Raw genomic sequence first — 18,360 nt, 5'->3', positions numbered from 1 at the left:
TAATTAAAAGACTATAACAGATTTCTACTTCTATCTGTTAGAATAAGTCATATCAGACTGCCTCCATAAACAAACATAAAATTGTTTTCAGACAGTGGACAACAGGCAGTACAACAGGAAACTTAAGGTGGAAGCCCCATGATTTCCTAGTTTTTGTCTGGGGAGAATTTCTCAGCAGCTGCACAGTAGGCTAGAGTCCTCTCAGAGCAGGGCATCCCCACTGAGCTGAGAAGGCAGAGATCAGAGTTCAAGGTCACTGAAGAAATTCCAATCTGCAGGGCAGGGCACCAATAGGAGACAGCTGTTCAGAGGGGCAGCTCTCGAAGTCCATGTGGGGTTCCATGTGCATACTTATCAAGGAATGGACTGTACCTGCACAAGAAAAAGACTAACAGATTTAACATAGGAGTGGCTGCTATAAAGTTGAGTTTGGACCAGAAGTACTTGTGGTGGAAGAGGGTTGGGGAATGGATGATGGAGTTCCTGCCATCCAGGGTGGGAAGAACTCATGCACACCTCATTAGCATCCAGGTATCCAATTGAGACACTGGAAAGGCTGTGCTTTAGGAATAAGTGTCACCCTTTACAATAAGGCCTATTCTAGACCAGCCCTAGTAAAGGCTAAAACGAAACCCTGACACCATCCACAAAGGGGTGGATTGGTGATTGAGTCCTACCAAATTAGAGAGTCTTGGGAAATGCTGTTGGCTTTCCATGAATCCACTGTAATAAAACATAAACCAAGTCCACATAAGTCCAATGTGATCAGACAGTAATTTTAATGCCCACTAGAACAAAATTAATTCACACAATCAATGACACAAGTTAGCCAAGTCGACATTTAAGCAAAATACATCTAAGAACAGCTAACAAATAACTCTTCTCAAACTCACATAGAACATTCACCAAGATAGACCACATATGCTGAGACATACTTAGTATTTTCTGTCCTTTCTCTTTGGCTCATGCATACTGTGCTCAAACTCTTAAAATTATACACTTTAATTATACACTTTAGTGATTACACACTTTAATGCATCTCAATTGCATGTAAGTTATATTTCAATATATTTGTTAAAAGTTTATAATTAAAAAAACTGTCCTAGCTTGATTCAAGAAATCTTTTTTATATTTAAAAAGTATAATTTTATATATTATCAGGGCAAAAGAGAAAAACTGTATGATTGCCTCATCATACACAGTAAAAGCATTTGGCAAAATTGAAAACTTTTTTCATGATTTATAAAAACAAACCCCAGAAAACTCTCAGCATGATAAGAACGGAAGGCAACACTTCCAACCCCATTAAGGGCAGATTTGAAAAACCCACAGGTAACATTATATTAAATGGCATAAGATTGAATGCTTTTCCATTAAATCAGAGAAAAAAGTAGAATATCTGTTGTTACTCTTTCAATTCAGCATTATACTAGAGCTCTAAATCAATGCAATAAAGTAAGAAAAATAAATAAAAGTATTGAAAAGGTTGAAAATAAAGAATTGAAGCTGTCTTTATTCACGGATAATGTCTATATGTGTTAACAATCCTAGAAATCTACAAAAATCTACCAAAACTAATTAGTGAGTTTGGTAGTGTTGCAAAATATAAGCTCAATATAAGTAGTCTTTTGTATTTCTGTATATTAGCAGTGAGCATTTGGAAAATGAAATAAAAATACAATTTCATTTAAAGTAACATCTAAATACATGTTGTGGTTATAAATAAATTCAACAGGCTGGGTGTGGTGGCTCACACCTGTAATCTCAGCACTTTGGGAAGCCGAGGTGGGCAGATCATGAGGTCAGGAGATTGAGACCATCATGCCTAACACAGTGAAACCCTGTCTCTACTAAAACTACAAAAAATTAGCTGGGCATGGTGGCATGTGCCTGTAGTCCCAGCTACTTGGGAGGCTGAGGTAGGAGGATCACTTGAACCTGGGAGACAGAGGTTACAGTGAACCAAGATCACATCACTGCACTCCAGCTTGGGTAACAGAGTGAGATTCTGTCTCAAAAAAAAAAAAAAGAAAAAAGAAAGTCAACAAAATCTATGTAAGGCCAGTACACCAAAAACTACAAAAAAATTGCTTTGAGAAATTATGAAAGAACTAAATTAGTGGGGAGATAAGCCTTGTCATGGATCAGAAGAGTTGTTATGTTTAAAAAGTCAGTTCTTCATGAATTGATCTCCAGATCCAATGCAATTCTAGTAAAAATTCCAAGCAGCATTTTGGTAGAAATTTACAAGCTGATTCTAGCATTTATATGGTAATGTCAATGATCAAGAGTAATAAAAGAGCAATATTATAAAAGAATAATGGTGAATGAATTCACTACCTATTTCCAGAATTACTCTACAGCTATGAAAATCAAGATCATGTGTTTTGTTGAAAAAAAAAATACAATATATACCAGTGGAAGAGAAGAGAGAATCCAGAAATAGATACTCACATATATGTCTAATTAATGATTCTTAGGACATATATATATGTGTACATACCCACCCACCCACCCACACACACTCACACATATATGTGTGTGTATATATATATATATTCACCTTTTTGAAGATTATCTATTGTTCTCCTAATAGGGAACATTAAGAGAACATAAAAAGAAGCCACAATATAGGAGATATATATATCTCCAACAAAGGTTTTTTAAAAGTGTATATATATAATATACACACACACATATATTTACTATATATATACACTATATATATACTATATATATACACTATATATATACTATATATATACACTATATATATACTATATATACACTATATATATACTATATATACACTATATATATATACTATATATATACACTATATATATACTATATATATACACTATATATATACTATATATACACTATATATATACTATATATATACACTATATATATAGTATATATATGCTATACATATATACTATATATATTGCAGTCTGATAAGATAAACAGCACAATGAAATAATTTCTCAAAAGACTTGAATAGATACTTCAGAAAAGAAGATACATGAATGGTCAATTAACATAGAAAAAGATGCTCTACTGTTTAGTCATCAGGGAGATCAATCAATACAACAATGAGATACCAGTACATATCCATGAGAATGGCTAAAATTAAAAATGCTGAAAATAGCACATATTGGTGAGGATTAAAGCACTTGGAAGTTTTATACTTGTAAGAATGAAAAATGGTATGACTGAAAATCTAACAGTTTCTTAAAGGTTAAACATGTACCAATGAGATGGACAGTCATTCCATTCCTAGGAATTTACACGCTGTGTCTGCACAATGATCTGTATGTCTGTTTCCAGACCAAACTGAGGGGCGGGCTGCTATTTCTTGTGTGTCAGTAACAAGATGCTGATGAACTGGGGAGGAAGAGAATTTTTACTTCTGCAACTGGTTACAGGGAAAAGGCCTGGAAATTATCACCAGACCAACTCAAAATTACAAAGTTTTCCTGAGCTTATATACCTTCTAAGCTATATGTGCATGTGGAAGTGTGCATTCCTGTAAATACATAAGTGATTAACTTCTTTTAATCTATAACTAAGGTCTGAGTCCTGAAGACCTTCCTCTGGAGCCTCAGTAAATTCACTTAATCTAAATGGGTCTAGGTGCTGGGGACCCTTGTCTTGTCTCCTGCTAAATCACAGAGGTTTGGGGAGTTTCTTCAGACCTCCAATAAACTTGTTTCTGGAGGCCTGGGGAGTTTCTTCAGACCCCCAATAAAACTTGTTTCATACTAAACGACTCCTGTTAAGAATGCCCTCATTATTTTGTCATGCTTTAAGGTCCAGGAAAAGCCTAGGCAAAACTCTTGGTGGGCTTTTGTTACATTCCAGCCTTTGTATAAGGGCACTGGTTTTTTTTTCTCCTTCCTCTTAATATTTAACTGAACCACTCAGTCGGTACGGAAATAATTGTTAGGGAGGCCTGTGTTAGTGAGACCTGGCCTGCCACGTATGGATGCTCATGATAGTTTCTTCATAATAGCCCAAACATGGAATGATAGAAATGTCCAATAACAAGTGAAAGTACAAACATACATGGTATAGCCACATGAAGGAATACTACTCAGCAATTACAAGGCATTAACTATTGATGAAAATACTCATCTGGATGGATTTTAAAATTACGTTGATGCATGAAAGAAGGCAGATACAAAAGAACGCAGGTATTAGTTCATTTATAGAAAATGGTTAAAAATGGAAACGGACCTGAAGTGACAGCGGTTACTTGGGCACGAGGGTTGAAAGACTGATGAACTGCAAAGGGGTACAAGAAACTTTGGGGCATAAATTCCTCTATCTTGGTTGTGGCAGTAGTTCCATTAGTGTATACGTTTGTAAACATGCATTGAATTATGCATTTTAAAGTGGTGCAGTCTGTTGTACCTAAATTAAACCTTTATAAAGTTGATTTCATCATCTTAATTTCTCCATACTAGCAATTAGCAGCTAGAAAATGAAATTCAATAAAACATAATAGAGATTAATAGCCGGAATCATTCCATGCTTAAGAATACATGCAATGAAGCAGGCACAAGGCCCCTAAAAGCAATTGGTTAGAAAAATTAAAGAAGACTAAATAGAGAAATGGATATCATGTTCATTGATTGGAAGACTCAATTTTGTTAGCATATTACATCAACACAATTCTGATTAATATTTCTAGTAGGAGATTTTAGAGAAATTTAAAAGCTAATTTCAAAATGTATTTGAAAATCAAAGAACCTATAATAGGCAAGTTGGTCTTAAAGAAGCAATATGTTGGAGCACTTTCTCTGCTAGATTTCAAACCTGATTTTAAAGTAATTTAAAAATGGTAGTACTGTTGTAAGTATTCATAAATATATCAAAGGAAAAGAATACAGATTCAAACTATACATTCAAACATATGTATAGTTATTTATTTTTTTAGTAGAATCTTTTTTATTCCTAAAAAATTCCTCAAAAGAAAAAAGTTTTCCAACCACACACAAGAGGGGTATAGGTAGGGGAAGGTGTCTGTCCATCTATCCCTGGCCCCCAGCCCATGTTGTTTTGGCAGCAATAAGGTGTGTGGAGTAATGGTCCCTGAAATTAAAATGGTGTATGTATGAGAAGGAAAGTGGGGCAAAGCTGTGGGAAGCAGTGGAGGGGAAGGAACAAAGGAGGTCAGTATTGGGAACGCTGAAGGTGGGAGGCCATTTCATAACATTCCTTTGTTATGAAATGGTGAAACTACCGTGGACTCCTTCTTTGCCCATCAGCAGGCCTGGCGTCTTGGCAGTCATGGTGATAGTGACACTGAAGGTGGGGCTCCACTGATGCTCTTCATATGATGATCCACGGTCAATTCCCCATCCTGCAGCAGTGAGTCCGGGACAACAGTATATTTCTGGCCCCCAAGTGTCAGCCCATTCACGAAAAAGCTTGACAAGTCTTTGCCAAACAGGACACCAACCTCAGCTGGGGTGATGTTGGCGAAGGTTTTCCCTGAGATGGCAGCCCAGTTCAAGTCCTTGTTGCCCATGATGGTGATGTCCTAACAGGTCCCATCCGCCACAGGGCTGTAGATGGAGGCATCCACCTGGCCATTGCGTTGCTGCAGGGGCTCCTCTGGTCACTGCTGCTGGGGCCGCCTGGGCTGGCGGGCAGGGGAGGCGGAGAGCTCGGGACAGGCGCTGCCGTCCTCACCACGGCTCTGCTAGCTGTGCAGCAGCCCTCGCACTGCCACTCTTTTAAAAAAATATATATATTTATTCATTTATTTATTATACTTTAAGTTCTAGGGTACATGTGCACAACGTGCAGGTTTGTTACATAGGTGTACATTTGCCATGTTAGTTTGCTGCACCCATTAACTCATCATTTACATTAAGTATTTCTCCTAATGCTATCCCTCCCCCAGCCCCACATCCCATGACAGGCCCTGGTGTGTGATGTTCCCCGCCCTGTGTCCGAGTGTTCTCATTGTTCAATTCCCACTCATGAGTGAGAACATGCTCGCACTGCCACTTCTAAATGTTTTAAAAACAAAGACACCAATGCCTTTCATTGGGGAAATGAAAGACTTTTAAGTAAAATGGTTTTGAGTGAAATAATATTTGTTGTTTTAAAAAGTTAATATTAACAACCATTCTCCATCATACATTGAAATTAACTTAAGATGTGAAAGTTAAAATTAGAAATCCTGTAAAGGAAAAATAGGAAATAGTTTCATGAACTTGACATAGGAAAATATTTCTTAGACTAGATACTGTAGCACTCACCACAATAAGAAATCAAGTGAATTGCACTTCATTTTTAAAAACCTTCTACTTACTATGTTGTTGATTAACAACTTAAAAGCTATCTGTAGACCAGGAATAATTATTTGCAATGTAATATAGCAAAAAAAAAAAATGTATATATAAATGGACTCATTCAAAATATATAAAGAATGGCTATAGATTACAAAGAAAATGACAAACACCCCAGTATATCAACGAACATAAAAATTTGAGAAGATATTTTCCATAAGAAGATATCTAAATGAACATTAGGCCTGAGAAAACCAAAACAGGATATCACTACACAATTGTAGAATGGCTATATATAAAAGGCTGAAAATATTAAGTGTGTGGGAATGTAGAGCAATGGGAAATGGCCTACATCTTTCATAGAAATGTAAAATAATACAATTACTTTGCAAAACTCTGTGCCCATTTTCTACACATTCACCAAGCAACTCTATCCCTAGCTATAGATACCCTGGAAAATAAGTATGTATCTTCACAGAAATAATTGTATGAGAATATTCATAGTTACTTATGCACAGCAGCCAACAAGTAAACCTGTCTCCCATCAGAAAAATGGATATCAAATTGTGTGACAATCATACAATCAATAGGATATTACTTGGCCAAAACAAAATGAAACGAGGGAAAAACACAATCAAACAAACTAGTGGCATACAAAACCACCTGAGTAAGAGAAGTCAGAACAAGAGAACATACTCAACGATTCCATTTTTTAATTTTTTTGAGATGGAGTCTCACTCTGTCCCCCAGGCTGGAGTGCAGTGTCACGATCTTGGCTCCGCCTCCCAGGTTCAACAAACTTTCCCTGCCTCAGCCTCCCAAGTAGCAGGGATTAAAGATACCTGCCACCACGCCTGGCTAATTTTTGTATTTTCAGTAGAGACAGGGTTTTGCCATGTTGGCCATGCTGGTCTTGAACTCCTGACCTCAGGTGATCCGCCCGCCTCAGCCTCGCAGTCTTGGGATTACAGGCGTGAACCACCAGGACTGGCCAAAATGATTCATTTTCATGAAGCACATGAATAAGCAAAATTAATCTCTGGCGGCTTCTATAGTTTAAATATTGGTCCCTTCCAAATCACATGTTTAAATGTGGTCCCCAGTGTTGGAGGTGGGGGTTAATGGGAGGTGTTTAGGTCACGGGAGTGGATCCCTCATGAATAGATTAATCCCCACCCTGGGAGAAGGTAGTGAGTGAATTCTCACTCTCTTAGTTCCTGTAGGAGCTGGTTATTAAAAAGTGCCTCTCACCTTATTCACTTTCTTTTGCTTCCTCTCTCACCATATGATCTCTGCACACACTGGTTCCTTTTCACCTGCTGCAAGTGGAAGCAGCCTCAGGCCCTCATCAGGAGCAGATGCAGGTTCCATGCTTCTTGTGCAGCCTGTAGAGCCATGAGAAAAATGTACCTCTTTTCTTTATAAATTACCCAGCCACTGGTGTTCCTTTCCAGCAACACAAAGGGACTAAGGCAGTGACAACATTCAGAATATATTCTTCATTTGGGGGATGAGTATTGACTGGCAAGGACCACATAAGAGCCTTGTGGCATGGGGGAAAATGTTCTCTGTCTTTAACTGGGTGTTATTATACAATGTATAATTATATTAAAATTTATAAAGCTGTACCTTTAGGTTTTTTGCAGTATTCTCTATGCAAATTGTATCTCAATGAAGAACTGTTAGCATACAACAGAGAGAAAACAAACACTCAAAAATGTGAAAATTGACAGAAAATAGGTAACAAATATTTAGCATATAAATAAGAGGGATTCGTTGAGAAGAAATCAAAAGAAATGGAACAGAACAAAGACAAAAAAGTATAATAAAAAAGAGTTTAAATTTCAAAGTTTGAAATGATATTAAAGTGGCACAGTTTCCTTGGGAAAATCAAGCGAGAACCATGAACTCTGAGACTAATTCCAGCAAAAGTATGTAAATCAGTTTGATCTAATGGTATATGGTTAGCTTTGAAGGCCAAAAGGAACTGGTTTCTAATTCTTATTCCTCTCCTCACTGGTTTTGTGACCTAGGGAAATTTTGCAATCTTTCTGAGTTTGTTTTCTCATCAGGAGCAGGATAATACCTAAGTAACAGGATAGTTCATAGATTTAAATATGATCGCATGGTAGTGGACATGAACCATAATTAGTTTTTAAGAATATATTTACACTGAGCTCTCCTTTATCCACGTTAAAATTGTAGACAAACAATTGATAAAGAATAGATAAAATGTTCTAACATAAATATTCTTCCTTTGTTTGTAGAAAGAAGTCACACATACAGTAAAAACAAAGAGGACTTAGTTTAATTGAACAATCTTCCCCAAACCCTGAAACAGCTCTACTTTCTAACACCAGAGATGTCTTGACTGACTCCTACCCCTGCAGTCCCCTCTGTCTGGAATAGATGGAGGAAGTTTGCTCCAGCCTTAAAACAGCATGGGCTGGCAAGCGTTCTCAGAGAGCCTCTCGACTTCAACTCTGAAGGCCCTGAGGAATATGTGCAACTGGGTCGGGTTAAGGCTAAGCTGAATCACATGACCAGGGCTCTCACCAGCTCCAAAGTCAGTGGAAGGATATCAGTCCCCAGAGCTCTGTTACAGGCCGTGGGATGCTCCATGGAGGGGTGGTGAGCATATGAATAACAATCAGGAGAAACATCGGTAATGGACAGGAGGCATAAACAATGTCTGCCCTCCACTAAAACCAAGGAAATTTCTCATTCTAAAAATGATGTCTTGTAAGAAAACATAGGTACAAATCTTTGTGACTTTGGATTAGACATTTTTTAAGTAGGCACAAACAACCCAAAAATAGATGAATGGACTTCATTAAAATAAAAATCTTATATGCTTCAAAGGACACTGTCAAGGAAGTGAAAAGATAATCCACAGAATGGGAGAACTATTTCCAAATTATGTATTTAACACGGGTCTAGTACCTAGAGTATATAAGAAATTCATATAACTGAGCAATAAATGACAACCAAATTTAACAATGGGAAAAAAGCTGTGAGTAGAGGTTTCTCTAAAGGAAACACACAAATGGCCAAGAAGCACGTGCAAAGATGTTCAACGTTTTTCATTAGGAAAATGTAATTTTAAACCAAAATGAGATACCACTTCACACCTACTAGTATGACTTAGGAAAAAAATAAAGAAAACACATGTTTGGAAAGTTATGGAGAATATGGAATTCTCATATGTTACTATTGGGAATGTAAAATGGCATAGCTACTGAAGTTGGTAAACAGTGTGTGAGTTCCTCAAAAAGTTAAACATAAAATAAGTTAAACATAAAGTGACATATGATGTAGCAATTGCACTCCTAGGTTTACAACCAAGAAAATGAAAAACAGGTGTTCCCTCAAAAACATGTACAAAGGTGTTGATGGCAGCATTATTCATAAGAGTTAAAAAGTGGAAACATCTTAAAGCACTATCAGTTGATGAATAAACAAAATGTCGTATAACCATATAGTGGAATATTATTTGGCCATAAAAAAGTTAAAGTACTAATGCAGGCTAAAAAAACTTGAGAACAATATGCTAAGAACCAGATGCAAAATGCCACACTTTGTTATTCCATATAGAAGAAGTGCCCAGAACAAGTGCATCTGTATATTGAAAAAGTAGATTAGTGGTTGTCTGAGACCGCAAGAAGGGGGGAATTGGAGAGTGACTGCCCATACAGGCATGCTTTTGGCATTATGAAAATATTCTGGAATTAGGTAGTGGTGATGGTTGTGAGACTTTGAAATATGGTAAAAGACACTGAAATGTATGCTTAAAAATGGTGAATTTTGTGATATATGAATTATACTGTAGAAATAATAATAATAACAACAGTAATAAAGCAAGGTGTCTTTCCACATCTCCATGTCCTGTATTTTCATTAAAAAAAAAAATTAAAAAAAAAAGCATTTCAGGGGCCAGGCTTGGTGACTCACTCCTGTAATCCCAGCACTTTTGGAGGCCTAGGTGGGAGGATCACTTGAGGCCAGAAGTTCAAAACCAGCCTGAGCAACATAGCAAGACCTTGTCTCTATGAAAAATAAAAAATTAGCCAGAAATGGTGATGTGTGCCTAGAGTTCCAACTACTTGGAAAGCTGAGGCAGGAGGATCGCTTGAGCCCAGGAGTTCGAGGTTGCAGTGATCTATAATCACCAACTCCAACCTGGACGACAGAGCAAGACCCTGTCTCAAAAAAAAAAAAAAAAAAAAAAGGCATCTCACTTTAATAATAAGTGGCCAGAATATGATGCTGGCAGCAAGTTTTGAGGAAATGTATTAGATGAAAGAAGTTACATTCTAGAAGTTTTCCTTTTTTCAGAAATGAGGTATAGGGGAGAGAAACACGTACTTGGAAAGAACTGACCCAGCTGAAAATGTGGGAAGGTGATGGGGAAGAGGCTGCTCCACCTGATATCTGGCTCCAGGACTTACAGCAAGGGGAACTTGGGAAAGTTACAGACTCTCTGTGCCTCAGTTTTTTCATCAGCAAAACAGAAAGAATCATCCCATAAACTGTAAGGTCGATGCTATCAGTGGGTCCCCAAATTGACTGCACATCTGAGTCATGTTAACAGACACATTCCAGGCCTCACCTGAGCCCTCTGATTCCAAATCCCTGCAAGGAGGACAATGAACTTGTATTTGCACTGACTTTCCCAGGTGTTTCTTACTCTGATCAACTTGGGGGTAGGACCCACTGAGCTGCATCACATCATTCCAAAGCCAAAACACAACAGCAGAACAAGAATATTTTCAATGCAGTCTCTAAAGCAGAGGAGAAACTGTTGTGGGAACCTAGAACTAAAGGAGATCTGGCTTGCTGGGCTCCATTTAAACTTTATTTTGAGTACAGCAGAGACACAAGCCCTTCGGAACACATGCCTGAGGCAGTGACAGTCCAACTTTGGAAGAATGGAAGCCCTAGCTTCAAATTCAAGCATGCTTTGAGTAGAAATTAAGTTTACCTCTTTTTGCACAGCAACATGGCCTATCTTTCCTAAACTGCTCATCTTACAAGAAAAAGAATCATACTGTTAAGAATTCAAACTTCAGCAGTCATGGGTAAGTAAGGAAGTCTTATAAACCTATTCTAGCCACCTAACAAGAAACCAGAAATTTAGCAAGTTCTTTCACTTACAGAACAGTTGTGTTAACTAGACCAGAGGCATTGAGACATGAAGAACAGACCCCTAAAAAGGGAAAGTGTTCCTTTCAGTTTTAGGACATCACTGGAACATTAGGGTAGTGGGAACACAGCTGCCTGCTCTACAGTCTGGGTTGCCTTTGTGTCTGGAATGTGTCTGATGTCCTGATCCCTGCATCCATTTCAGGGAGCCTTGGGAGGAGCCAGAATCACTGACGGAATTGGACAGTGCTTGGAGATGGCTCAGCAGGATGAGGTTAAGTGCAGGGGCAAGTCCAGGTCATACTGATAGACAATGAGTGGCGCTGATGGGGACAGACAAAGATAAAATCAAAAGTTTGTGCTTCATTTTTGAAAACTCAAACTAATAACAAACTTGGCCTTATAAGAAATAATAAGTATTTTTCTATTTACATGAGAATTTAATCTCAAAACAGAAATCAGAAAAATATTAAGTCCAGGACCTAAAACCTAAACCATTGCTCATATTTATTCTTTCTAAATAGAGCAAAGTATAAAATCTTCTCCATAACATACATTGTGGTTATAAAAAGGCAGAAGTCTTAGTGAGAATCATTGGTATTCCATAGAAGAGTGAATTAAACACAGCCAAAGGAAGACCCAAATCTCATACTTCTCTTGTATATTCCAAAGTTCCAGGGAAATTCCAGGTGATAGAGGTTATTTCCCATACTGTTAAAGCAAGGTTGCGGACACTTCTGAATTTTGGCCCCAGTACTCTAGGAGAGCACACCTCTGTCCTGGAGAATAATACAGGAATGAATATTCTTCCCGTGACTCATTCTGGTCATTCTTCCAGCATCACAAAAACCAAAAAATGGAAATATGGCCAAATACATGATTTGCTATTCCTCTTCTTCAGGTTTCTTACCTGTTACTTACGGATAATAGCGTTACCTTAAGGATTATGATGAAGATACAATGTCCAAATATGAGCACAGTTTTGAGCAAAATGCCTTGTATGAATTGGTCAATGAATAATTACTAAATAATTATGTGAATGTTTACGAATTATATGGATTCTATGAATAATTACTGAATAATTATTGTGATTGCTTTTATTGGCAGTGCTGAAAACTCATCTTTGTGTGACCTCATGTAAGCCATGTAACTTTGTGAACTTGCAGTTTTATCATTTGTAAAATGAATAAACCTGACAGATTTTCATTCTGAAACAGAATGTCAGGTCTCCCAGACCCCAGAAAATACATTGACTTAAAGCCTTTGATACATCTCAAAGCAGTGTCCTCATAGTGTCATTGGAGGATGGTGCGGGCTGCAGGGAGGGATGCTTTCAAATGGGATTGATCCAGTCCTCCTTCCTTCACTTCCACATGAATGCTGGGCAGCCCAGGTTCACACCCACTGCATCCTCAACTCAGGCAAGTCCAGCAGCCAATCTTAGGAGACCTGGGCTACAGAACATTCTCCCAAGTTCCAGGCTCACAAAACCTAGGTGGGATGAAAGCTGAGAAAGTGAGGAGGTGGTTCAGGGGATCACTCTTTCCTACTCACGCCTTTCACCTCAAACTCACCTTCTACTGCACAGCAACAGTGAGGATCAGCAAGCAACCCTGACCATAACCTTGATCTTGTCATGTTCTGTTAGTGGAATGCAACCAAAAATCAATGGTATTAGTCCAACTCAACAAAATATATCAAACCATATTCCATAAGAACTGCTCGTGGTCCTGTTCTTTTCAGTATATGGGAAAACAAAATGGAAACAACAAAATAGCATCAGTTTACAAAAATTCCCAAGATAGATGGTCACACATGTTTTCAGGAGATCCCTATGTAAATGATTTTGATCACTTGATACCTTGAAAAGAGCTCTTGTAGCACTAGAATGACATCCATAAGTGACAAGTATAAAATGTAGTGTTCAGTGACATTAAAAAACAAATCACCCCACACAGAGGAAGAGTTTTGGATGTAGGGATGTCATACTTGTCTAGAGTGTAATGAAAAGCCAAGATGGTGCCCCAGTAAGAAAAAAAGGAATCAACATAACAATGGGATGCAGCAAGAAGAATACCGAGACAGGAAAGAAAACATTTTTAAAAAATGGATTATTCATTCACTTTCTAGTGGATACAGAAAAAACTGCAGAAGACCCAGAGGACATCAGGGCAAGCTAAAAGTTTGATACCTTAGACTTGTGGAAAAGCCTTAAGTTCTGTTTTAACTTAGAGCAGGTGGGGTGACTTCATGACTACGATTAAGAAAATATAACCTGTTGGGAAACTGTTTGCCTTGATGATGTTGTACAGACAAGAGATAAACAGTGAGGAATATGCTTAGATGTATTGGGAAAGAGATGGGTCTGTGGCATTGTCACAGGGGTACACGAATACTGAGAGTGAATGCTGAAGGAATAATCTTCATTGGTGGTGACCCTCAGGTGAGACCAGGGTGCCTGAGTTTCAGCAAAGCCTGGGCAATTGCAACGCAGAGCTCCTAAGATTCCATGACACCCCTATCTTCTAATTCTGTTATTGCAACTGCAGACGGTTACCTGGCACGCTGGCCACAATCTTCCTTACTTTTGTCAGAGTCTGAGCTACTGGTAGTGAGTGCCTTCAGCTCTGAGTTCAGGCACCTCAAACCTTGTTTTTGTGGTGAAGGATCCTAAAGTGCTGTGGGGAGTGATCACATTTTTCTCAATAGTAAGTTAAGAATTTCAGTTACTGACATCCCTCAGTCCTGATTAAACCTATTGGATTTCACCAGTTTTTAACCCATCATGTGTTTGGGTTTCTTCTCCCCAGTCCCTGGCTCCACCTCTTCTGCCACAAACTTCAGCATGGTGTTGTCTGCCAGCCCTTGATCCAGTGAGAAGGCAGAAAAGAACATTCTAGAAATCAATGAGAAATTGCGCCCCCAGCTGGCAGAGAACAAACAGCAGTTCAGAATCATCAAAGAGAAATTTCTTGTAACTCAAGTGGCCTACTCCTGGCCAACCGGCAGAACAAATACCATAAGTTCTATAGGCTCACCATCACAAAAGTGATGAATAATGCCCTATCTTCTCTCTGAGAAACTAAATGCTGTCTCCAACAAAAATAATTTCATCCTTCCCGTACATCTAAGAAAATAGAAATGGGTATTTTAACATTTTGTTAAATTTGGAAGACAGAGGTACCAAAGTATTTAGCAACTTTCCATGTTAGCAGTCAGCTGGGGGTGGGACTAGAGTTAAAATCCCAGTTATTGATTTCTGACACAGGCACAGAATGACCTGTTTTCTCCAAGAGGCTAAATCATGTTTTCAAGAATCCTCTCTGTACTATATAAGATCCTGCAGACAAATAACATCTAGTCTGTTGTTCTAAATGTCTGGACAAGTGAACTTTTATTCAGTTCAAGCTTCTGTTGAGGCCCAATAGGCAAAGCTCTGTTCTAGTGACCCTGAGGGAAACTTGGTGATAGTACCCAGTACCCGCTCTGAAGGGCTTCAAGAGCAGTCTGCTCCTAATAGAACATGTGGTATATATAAGTGACAGCATCAAGAGCAGGGAGTAGGGGCCATGCACTGTGGCTCACTCCTGTAATCCCAGCACTTTCGGAGGCTGACTTGGGCAGATCACGAGGTCAGGAGTTTGAGACTAGCCTAGGCAAGTTGGAGAAACCCCGTCTCTACTAAAAATTCAAAAATTAGCTGGGCGTGGTTGCGGCGCCTGTAATCCCCGCTACTCGGGAGGCTGAGGCAGGAGAATTCTTTGAACCTAGGAGGCAGAGGTTGCAATGAGCCAAGATCACGCCATTGCACTTGAGCCTGGGTGACAAGGCAAGACTCGTCGAAATAAATAAATAAATAAATAAATAAATAAATAAATAAATAATTAATTAAAAAAAAGTAGAGAGTACCCTGTTGAGAGGGAAGTCCTTCTTCCTGAGGCACAGGCTCTTGCTCCCAAAGAAGAAGAAAGGTCGCACCTGAGAATGTGTGGAAGTAGAAGTACAGCGTTCAGAGCAGGGACCCTAGGCCTGTCTCCTGGGCTCTATCCAAGTTACTTGTCTTGTCTGTCCCTCAGTCTGTTCCTCAGTTTCCTCATCTGTTCACAGGGTACGACAATAATACCTACCTCTGTAAATTGCTGCAATGAATTACATGAGCTATTTCTTGCCAATCTCCTAGAACATTTATTGGCACAGAGTAAACACTATCAATTACTTCTTCATTCTACTGTTTCTAAATTAACACAAACTTTATTAGCATTTGGGCGTATTCCCTTCATGGCCTTATGGTCTTATGCCTCATACTTTATGCTTCAGATATGATTCTTAAAATCATATCTGAAGATATGATTTAAAAATCTTTGACATATTTGTCCTTGAAATTCCCAGTAAAAGGGAAACCATCATTCCCATAGTCCTGGGGGGCCTTCCTGACTGTACAAGAAATCACTACTTCATGCCCCAGTGCAGTGTTTTAGAGGAGAGGCTGCAAGGCTTGGGAAAGTGGCCCCGCATTCAGAGTCAAACCTCAGGGGCTGTGAATTCTGACTCCACTTCATTGTGGTTGAATCATCTTGTCAACTTTCTTGATGTGCCCTTGAGTTTCTCTTTCTTCGTCCCTAAATTTTGGAGGATCAGATGCCAGAAAGTCAGGAGACTGAAGAATAAAGATGTGGAAATCCCTTCCTAGGGCCTGGTACTGGGGACAGTTTTGTCCTTGGGATGGACCTGGCTCCTGCCCTGTGGGCAGTGACCACAGCAGCATGTCCAGCCTTCCACTGAGGCAGGCGTGTCTGTCTTTTCTCAGAGTGTGAAGAGTGCAAAGACCTCATAAAATCTTTGCTGAGGAATGAGCTGCAGTTCAAGGAGAAGCTTGCAGAGCAGCTCAGGCAAGCTGAGGAGCTCAGGTGAGGGGTCCCCGTGGGGGCAGGCAAGTGGGGGCAGGCAGGCCCCATGGGGCAGGCAGGCTCTGAAGTACAGCAGCTCGGTGGGGAGAAGTAAGAGCTAAGCTGGGCCAGGGGAAAGGCAGGAATTGCCATGGTAGGGCTCTTGACACACAAATATTTATCAAACAGAGAACAAGGATAATAATAAATTATGGGTTGCAGTTGTTTCTCAGAGCCTTGTTTTCTCTTTTTCAAACAAGTAATTGTTGAGGTGAAATTTGAATAACACAAAATTAACCAAAGGAGTGGGAACAACCCAGCAGCATTCAGTATACTCAAAATGGTGTGCCATCACCTCCCTACTTACCCTAAGTGAGAATCACCTCCTGACTGCTGCTTCTCATTCTTTCACTCAATCAATGTTGCCTTCTCGACCCTGTCATTCTTTACTTCTTTTGTCTTTTCAATTCTCCCCATCTTCACCTGGCCTCATTTCTGTACATGGCTTTGTATCTAGTCGCCGCAAGATGCACTATGTGTATTTTCACATGGAGATTTCCCTGGTCAGAGTGAGGAACTGAAGGGATGTTGTTTTGAAACTGAATTAGGAAGACACCTACTTTTGTTTACAGAAGAGAAAGATGAATGGAACATCATCGAGGATCTTACAGGAGCCCTCTCTGATATAGAGGAAGCCTGTAAACCATTTTTTATTCTTTTTCTTGGCCACAGACATTTCTTTAAACGTATGTTGACCTTCTGCGTGGAGGTCTCCTTGAGGACATTCTCTCAGAAATCTGTCATAATATTAGAACTGATCACTCATCCAGTTCCACTGTTAAATTTTCTCTACTATCTAACCTTAGGTGATATAAAGTCCCAGTCCACTCTCAGGAATGAGAGCTGACCCAGTTACAGGAGAAGTTACAGGAAGGGAGAGATGCCTCCCACTCATTGAATCAGCATCTCCAGGCCCTCCTCACTCTGGATGAGTGGGACAAGTCCTAGGGGCAGGACCTCCAAGAACAGCTGGCTGAGGGGTGTAGGCTGGCACAGCACCTTGTCCAAAAGCTCAGCCCAGGTAAGGTGACCGTAGGCCCTGATGACCCAAAACCCCAGGCTTATGAGAGACTCCAGACCTCCATACTTTCAATGACAGTTGTATCGGTGGTGTTTTTTTCCACTAAACATATGTGGCCATGACATGACCAGGACTTCCTGGGTAAGAACAGAGATGGGAAACCCATGGGGTTGGAGGTCACAGTATTGCAAGTGTCCCTTCTTCCTTGATGGAAGGTGATCTTTGGAGCAAGAGGCAGCATCTGTCTAGTTTTAAAGGACAGGAAGGAGGCTGTGACTGGAGGGCGCTTGTTAGAGTGAAAAGAGCTCTGGACTAAGAATGAAGGTTCCCATGCTGTTTCTTCAGCAATGTTCTTAGTAACTGTCGGTAAGTGAGTGATTTATCCTTCCTGAGTTTGTCTCTCACCATCTGCAAAGGCAGACAGATTGTTTCTTGCAAGGGACTGAAGTATCCAAATGTGGGAACACTTACTACTGCTTTTCAAAATGAGATGAAGCTCCTCGCCTTGTCATGTTGGAGAAGGCACTTGATGTAGGGGCTTTTGGTGGTAAGAAGTGCTTCAGACTGGAGCACTCCCCATGGAGAGAATGTCACACAGCAGAAGCCACATGGAGGGCCTGTGAAGTCTCCTGATTCATAGAGCACTGTGGGACAAGCTTGTCCTCTCCTAAGAGAAAGAATTAGGTTCAAAATGCGAACTGTGACAAGACACCAAGCCTGTGCCTGGGAATCAGATCTGTGATGGGATGGGGGAGACAGTTGCCAAAGTCCAGAGAGAGGCTGCACAAGCCTCCAGTGATATGGGGAGCAAAAAGTCTTTTCAGTATTTGGCCACATCTTGATGGTGGCCCTCCAGATCAGAAATGCATTGCCTGATGGATCAGAAAACCGTTCCAGGGCATTTTGTTAAAGACAAAACATGAGAGCTTTCAGTTTAACGGTA

The 18,360-nt window shown here is 39.6% G+C and overlaps 2 pseudogenes; one reads left to right on the top strand and one right to left on the bottom strand.

The window, feature by feature from the left end:
* The window catches only part of NBPF17P (NBPF member 17, pseudogene), a 40,565-nt pseudogene that overhangs the window by 10,072 nt on the left and 12,133 nt on the right, over positions 1–18,360 (top strand).
* PFN1P12 (profilin 1 pseudogene 12) lies at positions 4,939–5,721 on the bottom strand (annotated as a pseudogene).

This window comes from Homo sapiens, chromosome 1 (assembly GCF_000001405.40).
Source record: "Homo sapiens chromosome 1, GRCh38.p14 Primary Assembly".
Taxonomy (NCBI): Eukaryota; Metazoa; Chordata; class Mammalia; order Primates; family Hominidae; genus Homo; species Homo sapiens.
The sequence above is the reverse complement of the archived record's forward strand: the minus strand, read 5'-3'. Positions and strand labels throughout refer to the sequence as shown.